The sequence below is a fragment of the Homo sapiens genome, chromosome 2 (assembly GCF_000001405.40).
Source record: "Homo sapiens chromosome 2, GRCh38.p14 Primary Assembly".
NCBI lineage: Eukaryota > Metazoa > Chordata > Mammalia > Primates > Hominidae > Homo > Homo sapiens.
The window spans coordinates 122,927,137-122,950,201 of record NC_000002.12 but is presented as its reverse complement, the minus strand read 5'-3'; the positions used below and the strand labels follow the sequence as shown (position 1 = coordinate 122,950,201).

Here is a 23,065-nt window from a genome sequence, read left to right as displayed (position 1 = left end):
ACCACAATGAAATATCATCTCACACCAGTCAAAATGGCTACTATTAAAAAGTCAAAAAATAACAGGTGCTGGTGAGCTTGCAGAGAAAAAGGAATGCTTTTACACTGTGGGTGAAAGTGTAAATTATTTCAACCATTGTGGAAAACAGTGTGATAATTCCTCAAATACCTAAAAACAGAAATACTGTTCAACCCAGTAATCCCATTACTGGGTATTAGTTTTTTTAATCATAAAAACACGTGCACACACATGTTCATTGCAGCACTATTCACAATAGCAAGGACATGGAATCAACCTAAATGCCCATCAATGGTAGACTGAATTAAAAAAATACGATGCATATACACCATGGAATACTATGCAGACATAAAAAACAAAAGCAAGATCATGTCCTGTGCAGGGACATGGATGGATCTGGAGGCCATTATCTTTAGAAAACTAATGCAGCAACAAAAAAACAAATACCACATGTTCTCACTATAAGTGGGAGTTAAAAGATGAGAACACACATGGACACATAGAGGGGAACAACACACTCTGGGGCCTTTTGGAAGGTGGAGGGTGGGAGGAGAGAGAGGATTAGGAAAAATAACTTAACGGGTACTAGGCTTAATACATGGGTGGCAAAATAATCTATAAAACAAATTCTCATGACACAAGTTTACCTATATAACAAACCTGCACATATACTCCTGAACTTAAAAGTTTAAAAAAAATTGAGAGAAAAATTTTTTAAAAGAAAAATCTGCTATATTTGTGAAACATCCCAATATTTTTTGAGATCCAGAATTTGATGTTTCTTTTTATGTGAGATAAAATAGCGAGTGGCAACCTTATATTGCTCTCATCATTGAATTCTTGGCACAAAATTTCCATCACCATCAGTCCCAGGCTTTTTGCAACTTTTCCAACATTGAAAATAAAAATGGAAAAAAATCTATGTACCAAAATAAAAAAGAAAGAAAAAAATATATAACAAGAAGCCAGTAGAACTCTGGTCCATAAAAGGGCCTTTTCCTGACCCTAACAAGCTCAGAATAGAGACGAAATCACTCTAAGGCTGTGTAAGAACATTTCTCCCAAATTCTAGAAAAACATGAAGAAGTAATCCTTCTCTCTTCAGCTGATGACGGCAAGTGGAGTGATGGCACTCTACTGGGGAAGAGAGAGCCTTGCTGATTCAGTCACTGAGTAAACACTTGATTACACTCAGGAAGGTAACATTTTTATCTCTTCATGTGTTCATTCAAAATGGCCTTGACAGCCACTTCCAAAAAGTACTCGGCATTTAGAGATTTTCAAATAAGCGTAACTACTTCTGAAGCAAAGAAGATGATGTTTTGCCAAACTTCCAGGATAAGCTACCTTTCTTTCTCATTTTCAATAAGCATTAAATTGACACATTTGCACACTCAAAATCATGAAAACATTTTTTTCACTTCTTCAACGACATTGATTTTGTGACCCGTGCTATTTCTTCCACTGTGCACTGAATTTCATCTAACTAAAATTACCATAGTTTCTAATTACCTACTCAGCTTACTTCTGAATTTTCCTTTTAGTTCATTTCCCTCTGATATCTTACACTGAAGCCTGGTCTTTCTCTCCTGGATAGCATATTTTAACTTTTTTTTTTTTTTTTTTTTTTTTTTTTTTTTTTTTTTTTTCAGATTCTTCTGTAATGTTCTCACCACTGCTTTTGACCTCCTTTCCTGTTCTTCATACACTGAAAATGCAACCTTTCTAGAGCCCATTCTACTGTATGAGCTCCAAGCTCTCCTTACTTCATTTATAACATATATAACACTATTGATTTTTAACCTATTTCTTCAGTCCATTCCTCTCTCCTGAGATTCAGAAAACTGCCATGTTTTCTTCTGCCTACCAGCAGAACCAGTTTCAAGGGCAAGCCACCTGCTTAGAAACATGGCGCCCCATGCATGGAAGAGCCCTGTGCTTAATTTAATGTTCTGCTGTCACCATCTTAATACATTTAATAATCCTTGAATAAGACCTTCCATTTTCATTTTGTGCTGGGCCTTACAAAGTATGTAGCCAGGCATGCCTATTGGCCATTTCCTTGGGCATGTTTCACAGATACCAGTACATGTTTCTAAATATGTATCATTTTGTTACTATCTTCTCATCTACTTCTCAACAAGATGTATCTAGCTAAAAGCTAGAGATAATTAATGGCTTCTTCCCTCATCACACTGAAGAATTGGTCAAAATGTTTTTAAATGTTATTTTATCAGAATTCCCTAAATCTAATTTCTTCTTTCTGTCTTCATGGCTAATTCCTTAATTCAGGTCTTTGTCCTCTATTTCCTACAAGATTGTAACATCATTATTATTGTCATAGTACTAGACGTAAATGCCATATCAGATCATGTCACTTCTGTCCTTAAAAATAGGCAAAAGTTCCACACTGACACTGTTCAGATGCATTCACATGGGCCACATAGGTTGCTATAATCTCTTTTCTGTTAATTCTTGCTTCATTTCTTCTACTCTTAATAGTTCAATGGAATTTCAAGTACACTTGATTATCCACTCCTCTAAAACCAGGTGCCTCCAAATCCTTGTGAATTTCCCAACAATGTTCTGTCTGAAAAGTCCTTAGTCAGCTTTGTCTCTGAAGGGATTTCTATGATTCTTCAAGATCAAATTCAAATGCTATCACTACTTTAAAGCTTTTCTCTTCCCTCGGGAATATATATTTACCCATGTCAGGTTCACTTGGTGCTTTTTATATATCTCAGTTACACAATTTATCACTTGAGTTGTTGAGGAAATGATCGTTATTTTTATTGTGCTGTTAGCGTTAGCACACAGTCCAGTATAGTGCAGGCAATGGATGTTTCTTAAATATTAAGGTATTACTATTAGTTATAAAGTCAGCCTATATTTTTATTCAGGCATACCTTATTGTATTGTACTTCACTTTATTGTGTTTCACAAATATTGCACTTTTTTACAAATTGAAGATTTGTAGTACCTGTGAGTTGAGCAAGTCCACTGACACCAGTTTTTTCAACGCAAGTGCTCCCAACGTGTCTCTGTCACATTTGGGTAATACTTGCAACATTACAAACTTTTTCATTATTATTATATAGGTTAGTGTGATCTGTGAATAGTAATCTTTGATTTTACTAAGCTAATTGTTTTGGAGTGTCACCAACTGTGCCCTTATAAGACAGCGAACTTGATAAATATGTGTGTTCTGACTGCTCCACTCCCTGTTCCCCTACTTCTCTCCCTCTCGTTGGGCCTCCTTATTCCCTGAGACACAACAATATTGAAATTAGGCCAACAGTAACCTAAAATGGCCTCTAAGAGTTCAATTGAAAGGAAGAGTTACATACCTCTAAGTTTAAATCAAAAGCTATATGATTTCAGCTTAATGAGGAAAGACATGTCAATACTGAAATAGGCCGAAAGTTAGGCCTCTCTTGCCAACCAGTTATCCCAGTGGTAAATGCACAGAAAAAAGTTACTGAAGGGAATTAAAAGTGCTGCTCCAGTGAGCACACAAATGATAAGAAAGCAGAACAGCCTGTTGCTGATACGAAGAAAGTTTTGGTGGTCTGGACAAAGAACCAAATCAGCCATAACATTCCCTTAAGCCAAAGCCTAATCCAGAGCAAAGCCCCAACTCTTCAATTCTATGAAGGCTGAGAGAGGAGAGGAAGCTGCAGAAGAAAAGTTTGAAGCTAGTGGAGATCAGTTCATTAAGTTTTAACCCATCTCCAATGCATCGATTACAAGCTGAAGCAACAAATGCTTATGCAGAAGCTGCAGCACGTTATCCAGAAGAGCTAGCTAAGATCATTGATGAAGGTGGCTACACCAAATAACAGATTTTGTGTAAATGAAAGAGCCTTAATATAAGAAGCAGATGTCATTTAGGACTTTCATAGCTAGAGAAGAGGAGTCAATGCCTGGCTTCAAAGCTTCAAAGGACAAATTGACACTCCTGTTAGGGACTAACGCAGCTGGTGACTTCAACTTAAAGATGATGCTCATTTTCCATTCCAAAAATCCTGAGGCCTAAGAATTATGCTAAATCTACTCTGCCTATACGATAAAAATGGAACAACAAAGCCTGGATGACAGCACATCTGTTCACAGCATGATTTACTGACTATTTGAAGTCCACTGTTGAGATATACTATTGAGAAAAAACAATTCCTTTCAAAATATTACTGCTCAGTGACAATGCACCTGGTCACTCAAGAGCTCTGATGGAGATATACAAGGAGGTTAACATTGTTTTCATTCCTGCTAACACAACATCCATTCTACAGCCTATGGATTCGGGAGTAATTTTGACTTTCAAGTCTTTTTACTTGAAAAAAATTATGTTAGGTCATAGCTGCCATAATGATTCTTTCAATGAATTTGAGCAAAGAAAATTGAAAAACTTCTAGAAAGAATTTCCCATTCTAGATGCCATTGAGTATAGTCATAATTCATGGGAGCAGGTCAAATAACAACACTAACAGGAGTTTGGAAGCAGTTGATTCCAATCCTCATGGATGATTTTGAGGATTCAAGATTTCAGCAGGGGAAGTAAATGTAGATGTGGTAGGAAAAAATCAAGAGAAACAAAATTAGAAGTGGAGCCTAAAGATGTGACTGAATTGCTGTAATCTCATGATAACACTAAATGAATAAGGAGTTGCTTTTTATAAATGAGCAGAGAAAGTTGTTTCTTTAGATAGAATCTACTCTTGATGAAGATGCTGTGAACATTGTTGGAATGTGGAATGAGAACTGTATGTTCATAGTGTACAAAATGATATTTTGATATAAGTATACATTGTGGGATGGCTAAATAAAGGTATCTAACATAAACATTACCTCACTTATCTTGTTTTTGTGATGACAACACTTAAAATCTACTTTTTTATAATTTTTGATATACAATATTATTATAATCTATACTCCATGTTATGTACAATAGATATCTAGAACTGATTCCTTCTTTCTACCTAAAATTTTGTATCCTTTAACAAACATCTCTTCAATTCCCCCAACTCCCAGGCTCTGGTTACTTTCTCTGAGTTCTACTGTTTCACACTTCACGTGTCACTGAAATCACACAGCATTTGTCTTTCTGGGCCTGCCTTACTTTACTTAACATCCTCCAGGTTCATTCCTTTTGTTGCAAATGACAAGATTTATTTCTTTTAAGGCTGAAGAATATTCCATTGTGTATATATACCACATTTTTTATCTAATTATCTGTTAATGGACACTTGGGTTGATTCCTTGCCTTGTCTACTGTATATTGTGCTGCAATAAATGTGGGAATGCAGATATCTTTTTGGCATACTGATTTTCATTCTTTTGGGCATATATCCAGAAGTGGAATTGTTAGATTGTATGGTAATTCTATTTTACTTTTTTTGAGAGATCTCCGTACTGTTTTTTGTAATGACTATACTGATTTACATTGCCACCAACCGTGTATAGGGTTTCCCTTTATTTCATATTCTTGTCAACGCTTGTTATCTTTTGTCTTTTTGATAACAGCCATTTTAACAGATATGAAGTGGTGTTTCATTGGGGTTATAATTTGCATTTCTCTGACGGTTAGTGATTTTTTTCACATACATTTTGGCTATTCATATGTCTTCTTTTGAGGAATGTCTATTCAGATTATTATTTTTTAGAAATTTGAACATGGCTTACATTGCAGCACTTTTCAGGTCATTTTAAAAATCAGATTATGATATCCAACCTGATTAATAAAGAAATGTCTATTGCCTATATTTAATCAGGTTACTTCACTTTTTCTCTCACCTGATATATATGTTTAGTGCTATAAATTTCTCTCACAGCACTGCTTTTACTGTGTCATGCAAATTTTGATGTCAAACTTTCATTTTCATTTACACTTTAATGTGTTTTTAAACGTTATTTGATATTTCATTTTAGAACTATGGAGCAATTAAATGTGTGCCTTTTAGTTTCCATGTGTTTGAAGATTCTTTTATCTTAATGGTATTAATTTCAAATTCAATTTCATTGTGGTCAAAGAATACACTCTATATGATATCAATTCTTTTAAATATATTACAGTTTGTTTTATGACCCATAATATGGTTTATCTTGTTATGTGTTCCATGGGTACTTGAGAAGAATGTGTTTTCTGCTGTTGCTGGGTACAGTGTCCTATAAATGTCAATTAGATTCTGTTGGTTGATAGTGCTGTTGAGTTCTTCTGTATTCTTGCTGATTTTCTGTGTAGCTGTATTTATCAATCATACAGAGTGATGTTTTGAATTCTCCAACTATAACTGTATATTTGTCTTTTTTCTCCTTTCAGTTCTAGACATTTTTACTTCACATATCTTGCAGTTCAGCTCTTTAGTACATCCACAGTTAGAAATATTATATCTTTTGGGTGGATTGAACATTTAGTCATTATATAATGCCCACCTCTGTCTCTGAAAATATTTTTTGCTATGAGTTCTGCTTCATCTGGTATTAAAAGTAGTAACTTCTGCTTTCTTTTGACTAACGTTTGCATGACATGCCTTTCTGCATCCTTTTACTTTTAACCTGTCAATATCACTATATTTGTTGCAATTTCACATACACAATATATATCTTGGTAATTTTCTTAAACCTCCAGTCTGCCTTTTAATTGGTGAATTAACCCATTTGCATTTAAAGTAAGTATTAATATGTTAGTAATTAAGTAGGCCATTTTAGTTTTTGTTTTCTTTTTGTTCTCTTTGTTACACAGTTTTCTGCTTACTTTTTCTTGCCTTACTGTCAGTTAATTGAATATATTTTAGAATTCCATTCTGATTTTCATAGGCACTATTGATAGTGTTTTTGAGTATATCTACATAGATAAATAGGTGATAGATAGAAAGATAGATAGATAGATACTCCAAGTATTATACAACATATGAATAACTTATCACCATCTACTGGTGTCATTTTTTTATCAACTCAGTTGAAGTGTGGAGATTTTATTTACTCATAGATTCCTTTTTCTTATCCTTCATATTTATGATATAATTGTCTTAATGATCATCTACATGAATTACAACCAAGTCAATGTTATTATGTTTGCTTCCACATTCAAACATAATCTAAGAAACTCAAAAGGAGGAAGAAATTCCATTGTATTGACCTATATTTTTGTCTTCTGTGTTTATTTTTCCTCCCTGATGTTCCAGTATGTCTTATTTTACCTTTTCTTTTGTGTTTAGAGAAATTTTGTTAGCAATTCTTTTAGAGTAGGTGTACTGGTGACAAATTTTCTTAGTTTCTCTCTATCTGATTTTCCTTTTATTTCTGAAAGATATTTTCTCTGAATATAGGATTCTGGACTGGCAGTTCTTTTCTCTCAGAACTTGAAAAATATTGTGTCACTGCCTCCCTGCCTCTGTGGTTGTTGGTGAGAAATCTACTGTCATTTGAATTACTTTTTGTTAATAGATTAAGTGTTTCTATTATTGTTTTCAAGATTTTTCTGTCTTTGGTTTTCATAAATTTTAATATAATGTGTCTTGACATGGCTTTATTTGAATTTATCCTTTTTTTGTTTGTTTAGCTTCTTGAATCTATAGATTTCTTTCTTTTACCAAATTTATAAAGTTTTCAGCCATGTCTTTTTGGATATTTTTTAGTCCCACACTCTTTCTCATTTCATTCCAATACTCCAAAAACACAAATGTTAGATCGCTTTTTATAGTCCCACGGGTCCTTGAGTTTACTTCTTTAATCTATTATTTCTCTGTTGTTCGATTGGGTATTATTTTCTTTTTGTTCTGTCTTCATTTTCACTGATTTTTTTCTCTGTCCCACCCATTCCACTTTTGAGTTTGAATTTCTATTTCAGTTATTGGAATTTTCAGATCTAAAATTTGTATTGGTTCTTTTTATATCTTTTTTTTGCTGAGACTTTGTATTTCTTTTCTAAAGCTTCCTATTTTTACTTCTTTCTAATGTTTTCATAGTTGCTTATAGAAGCATTTTTATGATGGCCCATTTAAAATCATTATAAATTATTTTAACCTCTCTGTCATCTCAGTATTGACATCTATTGGTGTTTTCTCATATAGTTTTATTAATATATTTTTCTGATTCTTGATATAATGATTGATCATCAACTGAAACCTGAATATCTTGGATATTATATGATGAAACTGTGGCTCTTATTTAAACTTTCTATTTTAACTCGCTTTCCTTCAGTTAAACGCTGAAGAGGGAAAGAATCTCATATAAAACTGGCCATGTTATAATATTTCTAATGTCTAACTTTTAAAATGAAGGATATAAAGAAACACTAATGCATGGCCTATTAATAAGAACAAAATTAATTAACAGAGACTTTACTTGAGAAACAACAGACATTGGATTTACTAGGCAAAGACCTTATATTAACTCTCTTAAAGAGGCTCCAAGAGTTAAAAAAAAAAAGATGAAAAGATAAAGGAAACTAAGAGTATGCTAGTTTCCTAGCATAAATAGATAAAAGTTAAAAAAGGGAACCAAATAGATAAAAGTTAAAAAAGGGAACCAAATAGAAATTCTGGTGATGAAAAGAATATATTGACTGAAATTAAAAATTCACTGAAAGTTTCAATACCAGATTTGAATAAATAGGAGAAATATACTGTGAACCTGAAGATGGGACAATTAAAACTACACTGTCTGAGGAGCAGAATGAAAAAAGACTGGGAGTTGAGTCTAATATTTCTCCCCCACTGCAAGACCCCATTGCATTGGTCCCTATCCTTATCTCCATAGTATCCCTTGAATAAATTCTGCCTTATTATCTTTAACAAAATAAAAGAAAAAAGATTGAAAAAAATGAATAGAGCCTAAGAGACTTATGGGATGACATCAAACATACTTACATACATATAATGGGAATTTCAGAAGGAGAGGATAGAGAGAAAAGGACAGAAAGAAGATTTAAAGAAATAGTGGCTGAACACTTCCCAGATTGGATGAAAGATAGTGATCTACATACGTAACCTGGAATAAATGACTATACTATTGTCAGACAAAATAGACGTTAAGTCAAAAACAGGTAAGTCAGGTAAAATAGAGAAGTGAAAAACAATAGAGAAAATGTATGAAATCAAGAGTTGATTTCTGAAAGGATTAATGAAATTTACAAACTTTTATATTGGACTGATTTAGAAAAAAGAAGACTCATATTACTAAAATCAGAAATGAAGGTGGAGATATATAGAGTATTATAAATTACTGTATTACTTACCATATTTTTAAAAGAATTATTAAGAGAAGGCTATGAACAATTGTATGCCAACAAATTAGGTACACTAGACAAAACTGACAAATTTCAAGAAACACACAAACTACCAGAACTGACTCAGAAATAAATAGAAACAAAGTTATAACAAACAGAGAAAATAAAATAGTCATTAAAAACCTCCCCACAAGGCCTGGGATTAAATGGTTTCACTAGTGAATTCTACTCAATATTTAAAGAGGAATTAACACTAATCCTTCTCAAACTCTTCCAAAAAATAGAAGAGGAGGGAACACTCTCTAAGTCATTCTATAAGACTAGCACTGCACTTACAACTTAACTAAAAGGCAGACGATTCAGTTTATAAATTGACAAAGTTCTTGAGTGAACATTTTTTTTTCTTTTTCCCAAATGGCTGTTCAATTTATTAGCTTGATCAATAATGGTCCTGGCAAAAATTAGTTAACCAACATTAAGACATTTGTAATGAAATACTAATTTTAAAAATCCATGACACCTTGATAGAAATTAGCGCTTAAACAAACGAAAAAGGAACCTTTGATATTGCCAGCGGCTATAAAGTGAATCTACTGAGACCAACAGTATAGCAAGAAGGCAATTGCACATTTATATCTGACACCTGACCATATTTTCAGTCACCAGAATATCTCTCTCCAGAATAAAACAAAAAATAGTATGCTGATTTCTATAACCAAGCTTTTTTTCATACAAAAATCAAATAATGACCAATAAGTCACAACAGCTCAATAGGTAGAGGATTAAAAACTGCATCAAGCAGGTGTTGAAAATAAATACCACTTAGGAGAAGGAGGAGAAACCCTTTGTGTGGGGTTTGTTTTTGTCCCCTTGAGTGCGTGTGTGATTTGTCTTCTGAGCCATGAGCCTGGCCTGTCTCACGGTGCTATTCACTCTGAGAGAGTGCAAGTGCAGCACGTTTCCTCCAGAGCCTGGCCTGCCAGAAGCCTCAGAGCATCCATGGAACATTTTTTCACAGAGGATATGTAACTAGCCACCTCTTAGTATATGCAATGATGCCGAGCATCACTAGTCATTACAGAAATGCAAATAAAAACCACAATGGGATAGTAGCTCAGAGCTACTAGAATGGTTATCATGAAAAAAGGTGGTGAATATATGTGTTGGTGATATTATAGAAAAACTGGAACCTTCATACTTGGCTGGGAGAGATGTAATATATTGTAGCCACTTTAGAAAAAAGTTTGGCAGTTTCTTAAAAAGTAAAGTTAATATTTACCATATGGCCCAGTCATTACATTCTTAGGCATATAAACTCAAAAGAACTGAAAACATGTATTCAAACAAACAAATACTTGTATATGAATATTTATAGCAACACCATTCACAGTAGCCAAAAGTTGACAATAGATAAACAAAGAAACAAAATTTAATAAACCATACAATGGAATATTATTCAACCATAAAAAAGAATAAAATACGGATGCATGCTATAATCTGGATGAACCTTAAAAATATTATGCGAAGTGAACGAAGACAGATACAAAAGATAACATATTTATTATGTCAGCTGTCTTGAATATCTGTAATAGATAAATCCATAGGGACAGAAAACAGATTAATGGTTGCTAGGAGCTAGGAAAAGGGAGGATGAGTAGCCGCTGCTTAATGGAGACAGGGCTTCCCTTTGGAGTGATGAAAATCTTTTGGAACTGCACAACATAATTAACGTATTAAATGCCACTGAATTATACACTTTAAAGTGGTCAGCTTTACCGTATATGATCTTTACCCCACAAATGCCAATTGATTCCATTTTCCCTTCAGATAATTTGAATTTTCTGTGTGCTGATTAGGCCTAGGCATTTACTGGGAATACTTGTTAATATCAACTTTATTGATAATTTAATGATAATTTTAGTTGGTTTTTGAATGCAAACCATTCTTACACACCTGAAATAATCTCACTTGGTCATGATGTTCTATCCCATTTATATATGAATGGATCTTATTTGCTAATATTGCATTAAACTTGGTCACTATATTGAAATGTATAATAAAGTGTTTAAATATGATGATTGTAGATTTGTTTCTCCTTTTCTTTCCACTTTTGCTTGTATATGTATATACTTGCATATAAATTTACATGTATATGTAATATGAATACAAATTTTGTATATGTGTATTAAGATAATAAATAAAACAAATATAAATGTATATATTTATGTGTGCCTATGATAAATAAAGCAATATATTGAAATTTATGTTGTAATTATATTGTAACACACACAGAGGCATAATTTTCCTTCTGTAAAATGCACATATCTTAAGCATAGAGTTGAATCAGTTTTGGCAAATATATAAACTCTTTATAAATTGTTTATTATATCAACAACACTGCTATTTTTTTGCCCTTCATATCGCTTCAGCTAGTCCTTATTTGCTCTTTGAGTTCAACAAAACTTGGTTTTCAAGACAATAATGCTCTGCCCATAAAAACTGCAATAGTTGATTGTTTCTAAAACTGAACAAAAGATTTCAAAGGAAGTATTCTTTTCTGATATGTGTTATAAACCTTGGTTCCCCATGTACCTGTTTTTTACCTGCTTCCCTGTATGTCATGAGAAACCTTGATTAGTCAGTCTTATGACAGGTTCCGCTTTTGTGTTGAGTGGTATAATTAAGTCTAGGGGTCGAAACATTCCTCCCTTGGGTTAATAAAACATCTACTACAGATGCATAGGGACTGAGAAAAAAATAAGAGTTTGTCAGTAGATATGGTAGAGAGATATCTTTTCCTTGGCCCTCAATTCCATTTCTTTCTTCTTAACCTATGTATTTGGGCTATTCTATAAGTTGTCAAACCAGAGCTATTGTGCCATCTAGAAGATGGCATCCTCCAAAACAGTGGAGATTGTTCATTTATTTTGCAGTTAGCACTATAGCTAGGCCCTGAAAATTAAAATTGAATAAACAATTTCAATTTTCCAGAAGACTAACTTATGATGATGATATTTTAAAATTGTAAAATGTAATGATATGCCCAGCACAGTTCTAACAACTTTTCATACGTCAATTTATTTAAACCCCACAGCAACCCCAAGTATAGCATCATAGTCATATTCTTTTGTAGGTGAGGAAAACAAGGCACAGAGAGGTGAAACCAGTTTCTCAGAGTACAGTTTATAAGATTAGCTTATAAGGCTGACTTAGAGTTAAGTAATAGCTTATAAGGTTGAAGATTTGAATGCAAATAATTATCTCCAGAAAGCAGGCTCCTAGCCACTACTCTTTTTCCCTCTTTAAGGACACCTAGGGCTTCCAAGAACACTAGTCCATCACCTTCTCTGAATGTTATGTGGAATCTTAAATGTGATGTGGAAAAGGAGAAGTATGGTTACTCTAATAAGATAGCACTTAATTTGTGAATAGACGTTTCATATAAAAAGTCATTGTGGGTCCAAAATGGCAAACTCTCTAACTCCACAAGTCAGTATCAAGTTATCAAGTTATCTCACATAATAGTTTACTTAGGAGGCATTTGCCTTGCTTAAAAACCACAGAGGAATCTTGAGCCTTCTATCCAGTGTGTAACGGTCATTACAGATCATCTCCATCAGGGCCGCCGGAGTCCATGGACTAAGTATTTTTAGTCAGGATCACCTGGAGAACCTTCCTTCTGTTGCTCTAGCTCACATTTTAAAACAACAGCTTTTTTAGTTAACCTTTGAAATATTCAGTGAAAAAATACATAACCATGATATATGCTGCCTCCAGAATCCAGAATTAACCACTGGACATTTTAAAGGTAGAATTCATCTTTTTCTTCCATTGGGGAGAATTTTACAATATGCCCTAGACCACTGAATTCCTAGACATTCTCTAGTGGTGGTTATAAAAGGCAAATATTCTATTTCAATTTTAGTGATAGGAAGAAATAATATGAGAAAAAGTTAAATGCTTTTTTCTTCATCAAGAAACTCAGAAAATGTTTTACCATTTTACATGATAGTAATAGGTGTTAACCCTCAAAATAATTCCATAAGTTAAACCCTACTATTCCCCCCATTTTAAAGATGTCAAAGCTGACACTGAGAGCATTTGCATGACTAATAAATATCAAAGGCCAGGTTTTACCTTGCATATTTTGAGACCAATAATGAACTATTTTTATTATATCCATCATGGTCACCAATGCTTATAGCCACACAGCATCAGATTTAGATGTTAATCTCTTACATTTTGAAAGTGTGCAATAAGTGAATACGATTTAGAATAATAATCATAATATTTGGAGCTTAACTTTGGCATTTGAAACATGAAGATTCTGCCCCATTCTGGAACTACTGCATCAGAAACATTCTCCAATGGGATCTGGGAACTGGTACTTAAAATAAGCACCTGGGAGAGGACAGTCTACACTAAAAGTCAAGACCTACTGCTCTAACCGCTTACTGTATGGAGATGTCACGTCTCCAGCAAAATCTGTTTCCTCTTTGATACCTGGCTTCATATCTTTATGGAGCCAAATTCCACAATGCTAAATGACAAGGGGCATTTATCAATGTTTCACAGTCCCTCTTCTGTCCATTTCTTCTCACTTGACTTTGAGATGCACGTCTAGAGCTGTTGATGAACACTTCCCTAAAGAACCCAGGTCTCACCTTCTGCTTACAGCTAACCCTCACCCTACTAAACTTTCATACATTTTGAGCACTGCCCTTGATTTCTCTTCATATTTTCTCTGGTCATTTTGAAAAAATACCTCACTGAATTCAGTTATTTTTGTGAAATTGTATTATACCACCACCCTGGAGTATACTATATGGTCCTGTGGTGTCCACATGGTCAGCCTTAAATAGGAACAGGACATGAATTTGATGTGCCCTATATCAACCTGAACTGAATAGAACAGTGCAGACACTCAAATTAATAAATAGAATACTATCAGAAGGTCACATTCTATAATTTCCATTGTGCTTGTGGAAGATCCAAAGAAAGGAAATCACTTTTAAAATTTTCTACATTATGCAAAGGCATCATGCTAGGAAAAACGTACAGCTGATAAGGATGAGGATGATGATGATGATAAATAATATGTAATTCTATCCCTGATAATGTTCAGTTAATTCTTCACATATTCCATTATTGATCCAGTAAGTCCAGACAATATTTTAATAGATAATATTTTTCATGGTGACTCAATCTTGAATCATCCTGAAAATTGAATAAATACAAGGTAGTCTATCACAGCTCTCTAAGCTTGTTTATGTAGTTAGCAACAGGAAGGCAATAAACTGCATTTTTTTAATCCTGCTCGAAAAGACTTAGAGATCAACAGAAGAGGAAACTTTTTTTATTAATGAGGCACTGAGCAGAGGAAGAAGGTTTGGTGTCTAATTCCTGTGTTTTAATCACTAGGAACAACATGTAAAATGAAAGATTAAATCAAGGCTTCATAGGGGGGAAAATGCCAAATTACCCAGGGCTTCAGTTTCTCTTGAAGACCTGCCTCTCTTTAATTATCAGTTACATTCATAATCTTAGTCCTTTCACATTCTCTCCTTTTTCTCCCAAATAAAACTTATTTTCAGAAAAAAAGTCTGAGAAACATGTTTACAAACTTATTTACATTAAATCTTGTCGTTGTTGTTTAGTTTGAGATGGAGTTTCACCCTTGTTGCCAAGGCTGGAGTGCAATGGCGGGATCTCCTCTCACTGCAGCCTCCGCCTCCCGGGTTCAAGGTTTCTCCTGCCTCAGCCTCATGAGTAACTGGGATTACAAGCACCCACCACCACGCTCAGCTAATTTTTGTATTTTTAGTAGAGACAGGGTTTCACCATGTTGGCCAGGCTGATCCACCTGGCCTCAGGTGATCCACCCGCCTTGGCCTCTCAAAATTCTGGGATTACAGGCATGAGCCACTGTGCCTGGCCTACATTAAATCTTATATCACCATCTTTTCTGAGGGGTGATTGTATAGTATCCCTGGAACTTGTGTACTCCCATTAAAAGCTAAAACTCCCTCGGAAGTTGAGGTCATAGATAATATAAAGACCTTTCGAAATGTGCTGTCTTATCAAAGGTCCTTTATTTTATGAGGAATAGTTTACATATAATAAAATGTACATAATTTAAATGCACAGCTCAATAGCTCTGAACATATAGACACCAGTGTAACCAACACCACTATCAAAACATAGAACATCTAAAAGCCTTTTGTAAATGTAAAATGCAATGCAAGCCTTTGGCCTAGATAAAAATAATAAATAAAAAAATGCTTCTCTAATTGTGTTGTTTCATAATTATTTTGCTTTGTCGCCTAACCTTAAAAATGAACTGTATTATATTCGATATCTCATGACTCATAGGTATCTTATCATAAGATGCATATAAGTCAATATGACCCTTGCTCCTCATTTGCCTTAAATATGTTATATTTTTCTCTAACAAATTATTGGAGTCTATGACAGATGAGATTACGCATGAACACTGAAAAGTTTCTAATAAGATCTGAACTATACTTATAATCATGAACCAATTATTGTATGTGGTCCTCCCCACCATCCTATATCCTCCACACCTCCTGTGTTAAGAAAACATATATCAAACAGGACAGATAAAAAGAAATGTTCAGCTGGGCACAGTGGTTCACGCCTGTAATCCCAGCACTTTGGGAGGCCGAGGCAGTCATATCATGAGGTCAGGAGTTCGAGACCAGCCTGACCAACATGGCAAAACCCCGTCTCTATTAAAAATTAAAAAAATTAGCCAGGCGTGGTGGCACACACCTGTAATTCCAACTACTCAGGAGGCTGAGGCAAGAGAATTGCTTGAACCCGGGAGGTGGAGGTTGCAGTGAGTGGAGATCGCGCCATTGCACTCCAGCCTGGGCAACAGATCAAGACTCTGTCTCAAAAAAAAAAAAAAGAAAAAAGAAATATGAATTTGTAAAAAAGCATAAAATGTTAAATCAACTGCATTTTGTATTTGTGAGCATAAAATGAGTTTACATGAGAAACACATTGAGCAACACTCATACTGTTCAGTTCACAAACTGAGATAGAGGACAGGTTGCAATAAGATCCTGTGTCCTCACCATAATCCTAACACTAGTCCCATTACACTAAGCCACTTCTGCATAGGTGTGAAAATCATGTTTACAGAATTCTCCTTGAAAATGAGCATACACATAATTGATTTATTTTGCTAACACAGGGAACTTATTTTGTAGATATTTCATTCTATCAAGAACCATGGTAGGTCTGAGACTTTATTCTACTTGCAAGCTAACAAGTTAGCCTGTCATGCTTTTATGGATGCTGGCAGAAAACATGAGACTCTTCAGTCAGAGTCAAAGGACAGTTTATTACTCGCGGCAATAGCAGTACAGTAGCCAGAATATCATCACTTTTACTCAAGTTCCCCAAGCCCCAGTTCCCATAAGGCAACATGAAGAGGGGCAGGGGATGACTACATATACACATGCAAGGCGTTGTTACAGGAGAGAAACCCCCTGTTTTGGAAATGTAAATATTTTGTGTTGAGTTGCAAGCCAACCTGCACAAAATTTGCCAAGGAGGAAAACACTAAATTTATTAAACTGGATAGTAAATAAACCTGTTCTTTGTTCTAGAGAAAGGCACAATTTGTATCTTCTAGGATTGTTTACATTATAAACACCCTTGAAAAGACAGCCTTAAACAAAGGGTGCCAGTGGTTTGTTCACAATATATGCAGAAATATGATAGACCCATGAAGAATTGCTTCCTAACATGGCCTACCAGAAGACAAACTGGAGTGTCAGATCAATGTAACCAGTTTCCTTCAAGTATACAGCATTGAAGAAATGCAAAACAAAGTGAGTATGTATGCGTGTTTGCATATGCATGTATAGCATATATGTCTAAATATATATGACATGTATATAATATATACATATAAATATGTATGTATAAGATATCCAAATATACACACATGCATATACAAAGGGAATTTTATATATATAAAACACATCATATGTATATGCATAATATATTATACATTTCTTTAAAGTATGTTAAAATATGTATAAATATATGTTCAAGTATATTAAGGGAATTATTTGATTTGAAGATACACTGGTGATTTTTAAACTCTCTTCTCCACCTCCTTTATGCATCTGTTCTTATTATAGTCAAATAGCAATTATATCAATTATATATAGTTAATTTATTTTCTAAAGCCCACAATACTTAAATTGGTAAACTTATTTTTCTGTGTACTGTGAAAATAAAATCCACTTTAGAAAAATGTCACATGCCCAGTAGTCTAAAAATACATTAAAATGAAAATTATCATATGAAGTGCCTGCTCTTGTCAACAAGATTGAATTTTGAAACAATGTAATGCATGTCCAATTAGCAAATGAGTATGAGCTAAATGAAGGAAAAACAATTTAACTGTTGTCTGTTAGACCATGGAAATGAGCAATGTATGCACAATTGTTATATTTACTCATGTATAATAGGATTGAGCACTAGATCATGCAATGAACAGTACTGTTGACCCTCAGCAACTACAATGTTTGTATGTAATAACTCAAAAAATGCTAGTTATAAACTTTCTCCTTGTCTCACACTGCTATTTTTAAAATAGAGCAACAGAAGTCATGCTTACAATTATCTTGTTTATTCTGTTTCCATTAAGAAAATCAAGTACTATTTTAATATCTAAAATCTAAACATCTACTCAGTGACAAACAATGTACATGTTCCTGCATTTCATCCTCACTAACATCCCCCGAAGCAGATATTTTCAATCCTGTTTTACAGATAAGGAAATGAGGTGTTGTTAGGTGTTATATTAAATAACATGGAGGTAGAACTTGTGATTTTCTAACAACCGCACAGAGCTTTTCTCCTCAGCGAACTGGCCTTATTCTTCTCTATCTGTAGCACTCATCTAGGTAGCACATAAAATCTGGAAAACATTTAGGAAAAATTTAATTTACTTGGGGGTGGGGTTGATGAATAAAAACACAAATGCACATTAACTCTGCCTCATATATGCGAATTAATATGCATAAAACAAAGAACAGTTGAAGATGCTAAGAACAGTATTAGACCAAAGAAATTGAAACCATGGTAGGTATTAATGTATAAGCGCTTTGTATACTAGAAAGATTTTGGCTAGGTCTTATCCTGAAATATAAGTGTATGCATCTTCTATTGCTGGAATAACAAATTACCATGAAGTTAGAGGATTAAGCAAACTATCACAAAGTTAGAAGGGTAATTTTATTGTCTTACAGTTCTATAGATCCAAAGTCTGGGACTCACACTGGGCTAAAATTAAGGTGTCTGCAGGACTGCATTCTTTCTATAGACTTTTTTTTTTAATACTTTAAATTCTAGGGCACATGTGCACAATGTGCAGATTTGTTACATATGTATACATGTGCTGTGTCGGTTTGTTGCACCCATTAACTCGTCATTTACATTAGGTATTTCTCCTAATTCTATCCCTCCCCCATTCCCTCACCCCACTATAGACTCTTGAAGGTAGGATTTACTTCTTTGCCTTTTCTCCTTTCTAGAAGTCACCCATATTCTTTGGTTTATGGGCCCCTTCTTACACATTTAAAACGAGAACTAGTAGATTGAGTCCTTCTCATATGACATCACTTTAACCTGCCCTTCTGCCCTCCTTTTTCACTGTTAAGATCTCATGTGATTTAGACTGGGCCCACATAGAAACTCCAGAATAATCTTTTCATCTCGACTTTAGTTATACCTGCAAAGTTCCCTTTGTCATGAAATGTAACACACTCACAGGTCCTGGAAATAAGAGCATGGGCATCTTCTGGGAGATATTACTTGCCCAAACAAAATGAGGATGGTCTAACCCCTACAGAGATTATAAAAATATATTTAAAAAACAACAGTCAGACCCACATGCATGTTTTCTATAAGAAACCCAACTTAAAAAGTATTCAAGTAAAAAGTAAAGGGAGAAAAAAGATATACCATGCTAACAATTTTCAAAAGAAAACTTGAATAGCTATAACAACTTCAGAGAAAGAAGATTTCAGAACAAGAAAAATAATCAGAGGCAATGAATTGTCACTTTTCCAAGAAGACATAGCAAAACTAAACATGTATATACCTAACAGAGCATCAAAATTTATGAGACAAATGCAAACAGCACTGCAAGGAGAAACAGACAAATCCACTGTTATAGTTGAAGACTTTAACACACTTCTATCAGTATTTCATGCTTGAAGCAGGCAGATAATCAGTAAGGATATAGTTGACCTGAGCATCACTATCAATCTGCTTGATCTAATTGATATTTAGAGAATATTCTATTCAACTACGCCAGAACCCATATTCCTTTCAAGCTCATGTGGGTAATTCATGAAGAAAGATGATGTTATAGTTTATAAAACACACCATATTAAGGAAGGAAGGAAGAAAGGAAGGAAGAAATAATTTAAAGTATTGTTAAGTCAAGTTTAGCTTAAAGCTGCCTCCTTAGATATTTTATATTGAGCCTAAATTTTTCTCCCTAAGTTGTGAAGTATAACAGGTGAAGATGTAAACAGACATTAGCCTACACTGTGCCAATCACCAAGTTTTGGCCAATCAAATACAGCCAACTGTACAAATCATGTTCAAATAAGGCAAATGTTGATTCATAACCCATCCAGCCATTTCTGTACCTCACTTCCATTTTCTGTATCTCACTTTCCTTTTTCTATCCATAAATTTTCTCCCACCACTTGGCTGTGCTGGAGTCTCTGAGCCTAATCTGGCTTAAGAGGCTGCCCAATTAACAAATCATTCATTGTTCAATTCAACTCTTTAATTTAATTTGGCTGAAGTTTTTCTTTTAACAGTATGCTCTTAGACTACAACGGCATTACACTAGAAAACTAGAAACTAACAACTGGAAATAACTGGAATATCATCAATATTTGGAGATGAAGCATGTACTTTCTAAGTAGCACATGGTTCAAAGAAGCAGCCTCAATTTTTTTTTCAAAATATATTTTTGACTAAATATAAATTAACATGCATCTAATCAAAATTTGAGGGATGCAGCAAAAGCAATACTCAGATGGAAACATATAGCATTAAATTCATACATTAGAAAAGAGGAAGGATCTAAAATTAATTATCTAAACTTCCACCTTATGAAACAGAGACAGAGCAATTTAAGCCTAAAGCAAGCAGAAGAAAACAAATAATAAAAATTAGAGCAGAAATCAGTGGTATTGAAAATAGAAAAGCAATAGAAAGAATCACTGGATCAAAAGCTTGTTATTTCAAAAGATCAAGAAAGCTGATAAACCTCTACAAGTCTATGCAATTGACCAAATGCTCACAGCTGTCCTTAATTTACCCTCTGAATTGGCTCATACTGGTCAGGCATCTCTCCTTTCAATAGGACCTTGAACTTTGGCTTGACTCCAAATCTGAGAAAGCTCTAAAATGCAGAACATCCCTGTTAGTAGTCTATCCTGAGAGTAAGGTGACCACAGTGAAAATCAAAAGTTGTTAGACCACCACAATTACACTGTCTGCTCCATCGCATTCAATTTCCCCTCAAAAGTTCCTGGTAGTTCTACTAGTTGAACCCCTCTCTAAAAAAGGAAAGCTTTTCTTTTTCTGTTTGATTTTGAGATGCTTGTAGATCTTCAGTTTCAAGAGTTCTTCCTGTTGAAATAGTCGTTTTAATACAATCTCTTTTCACTTAAGTTCAGATTTCTTTTTACTTAGCATTAATGTTGACTAAAAAAGCCAAACTCTGTAAAATATTTGAAAAGATGTCTTCTGAGCCAAATGCAATGAACATGACCCATAACATAGCCCCAGAGTGTCCTGAGGACATGTGTCCAAGGTGGTTTGGCTACAGCTTGATTTTATACATTTTAGGGGTCAAAAGTTACAGGGAGACATAAATCAATACATATAAAGTATACATTCGTTTGATTTAGAAAGGTGGGAAAACTTGAATCCAGGTCATGGCAGGGGGATTAGAGGTCATAGGTGGATTTAAAGATTTACTGATTAGCAATAAATTTAAAGAATTGTTATTATCTAAAGCGTTGAAGTAAGCAGAAAGAAATGCTTGGGGTTAAGATAAGGGAGTTATGGAAGCCAACATTCTTGTTATGTAGATGGAGCTTCCAGGTAGCAGTCTTCAGAGAGAATAGATGGTAAATGTCTCTTATCAGACCTTAAAACATTTCGGACTCTTAGCTAAAACTCTCCTGGATGAGAAAAAGACCTGGAAAGGGAAAAGGATTCTCTACAGAATGTAAATTTTCCCCACAAGAGATGGCTGTGGCAGGGTGCGGTGGCTCATGCCTGTAATTCCAGCACTTTGGGACGCTGAGGCAGGCGAATCATGAAGTCATGAGTTCAAGACCAGCCTGGCCAACATGGTGAAACCCCATTTCTACTAAAAATACAAAAATTATCTGGGCATGGTGGTGTATGCCTATAATCCCAGCTACTCCGGAGGCTGAGGCAGGAGAATTACTTGAACTGGGACCCAGGAGTCGGAAGTTGCAGTGAGCCGAGATCACACCACTACACTCCAGCCTGAGTTACAGAGTGAGACTCCGTCTCAAAAAAAAAAAAAGAAAAAAAGAAAAAGAAAAAAAAAGATAGCTGTGCAGGGCCATTTCAAAATATGTCAAAGAAATATATTAAGGGGCAAAATACTTTGGTTTCTTTCAGTGCCTAGTATCTCAGTGCCTGGTATCTGTCATATGATGCTATAGTACAGTGTAGTTGGAATTTGGTATCTTATTGCTAAAAAGAGTTTGTTTGGTCAGTTTTAGGATTGCTATTTTAATGTTAATGCTGGTTAATTGTGCCTGAATTCCAAAGGGCAGAGAGTATAATGAGGCAACATGTGATCCTCCCCTCCCATCATTGCCTGAAGTACTTTTTCAGGTTTCTTTGCAATTCTCTTGGCCAACAGCAGGTTCCAATCAGTCAGCTAGGGGGCTTAGAGTTTTATTTTTGGGAGAACCAAGAAAAGAAATAGAAGACATCAATTATCAACATCAGAAATAAAAGAGGGGTCAACACTCCTGATTCCATGGACATTAAAATAATAAAAGATAATGAAATAAAATGATAATAATATGAATAACTATGGACAACAAATGCCCCCAAATTTGACAATAGATGAAACACACCAATTTTTAGGAAGTACAAACTACCAGAATTCTCACAAGGATTAATAAATACTCTGACTAGGCCTATATCTATTAAAGAAATTAAATAAGTAATAACCTTCTAAATAAGTAGAAGGAAAGAATGAGAATGAGCCTAAAGAAAGATCCTGAGATGAAATTGAATACAGCTTGAGCAGGAAAGATGTCAAGTTCTGTCTGGTTAGAGCAGAGGGGAGGCATATTAACACTTAAGTGAGGTCTCCATTTGATAACAGCTGCCAATAGCCTGTTTCCTCCCCATTGAGCTCTAGAGTTAGAGGGCAAGGGACTCGCTAGGGGGTCCTTCTCACGGGCCAGCAGGAAGGAGTTTATTCAATAGAATCAGCATCTTGGCAGTCTGACAAGGGAGAGAAGGAATGCTTTGTTCACAAGCTGGCACTTCAGCTTCAGTGGAATAACATAAATTGGTAAAAATACAAAGCAGTTAGCACTTACAAAGAAGAGTCCATTGAATGGCTTTGGCACTTTGATATAGGATTCAGAACAAAGGAGCCTTGGGAAGCTAACATGATTTAGAGGATTCGAGAAGTTCAAACTGGGGTGTGGCAATGGATCTAGAGAATGTTTGCAAGCATTAATGTCTTTG

At 34.7% G+C, this 23,065-nt stretch overlaps 1 annotated feature.

Annotated features, from left to right (window-relative positions):
• Window positions 21,860–22,408: an enhancer, noted in NCBI's record as "OCT4-NANOG hESC enhancer chr2:123685370-123685918 (GRCh37/hg19 assembly coordinates)". NCBI's record gives its function as "activates a minimal SCP1, AML or CMV promoter by ChIP-STARR-seq in naive H9 embryonic stem cells {active_cell/tissue: H9 hESC(naive)}" and the evidence as "EXISTENCE:reporter gene assay evidence [ECO:0000049][PMID:30033119]".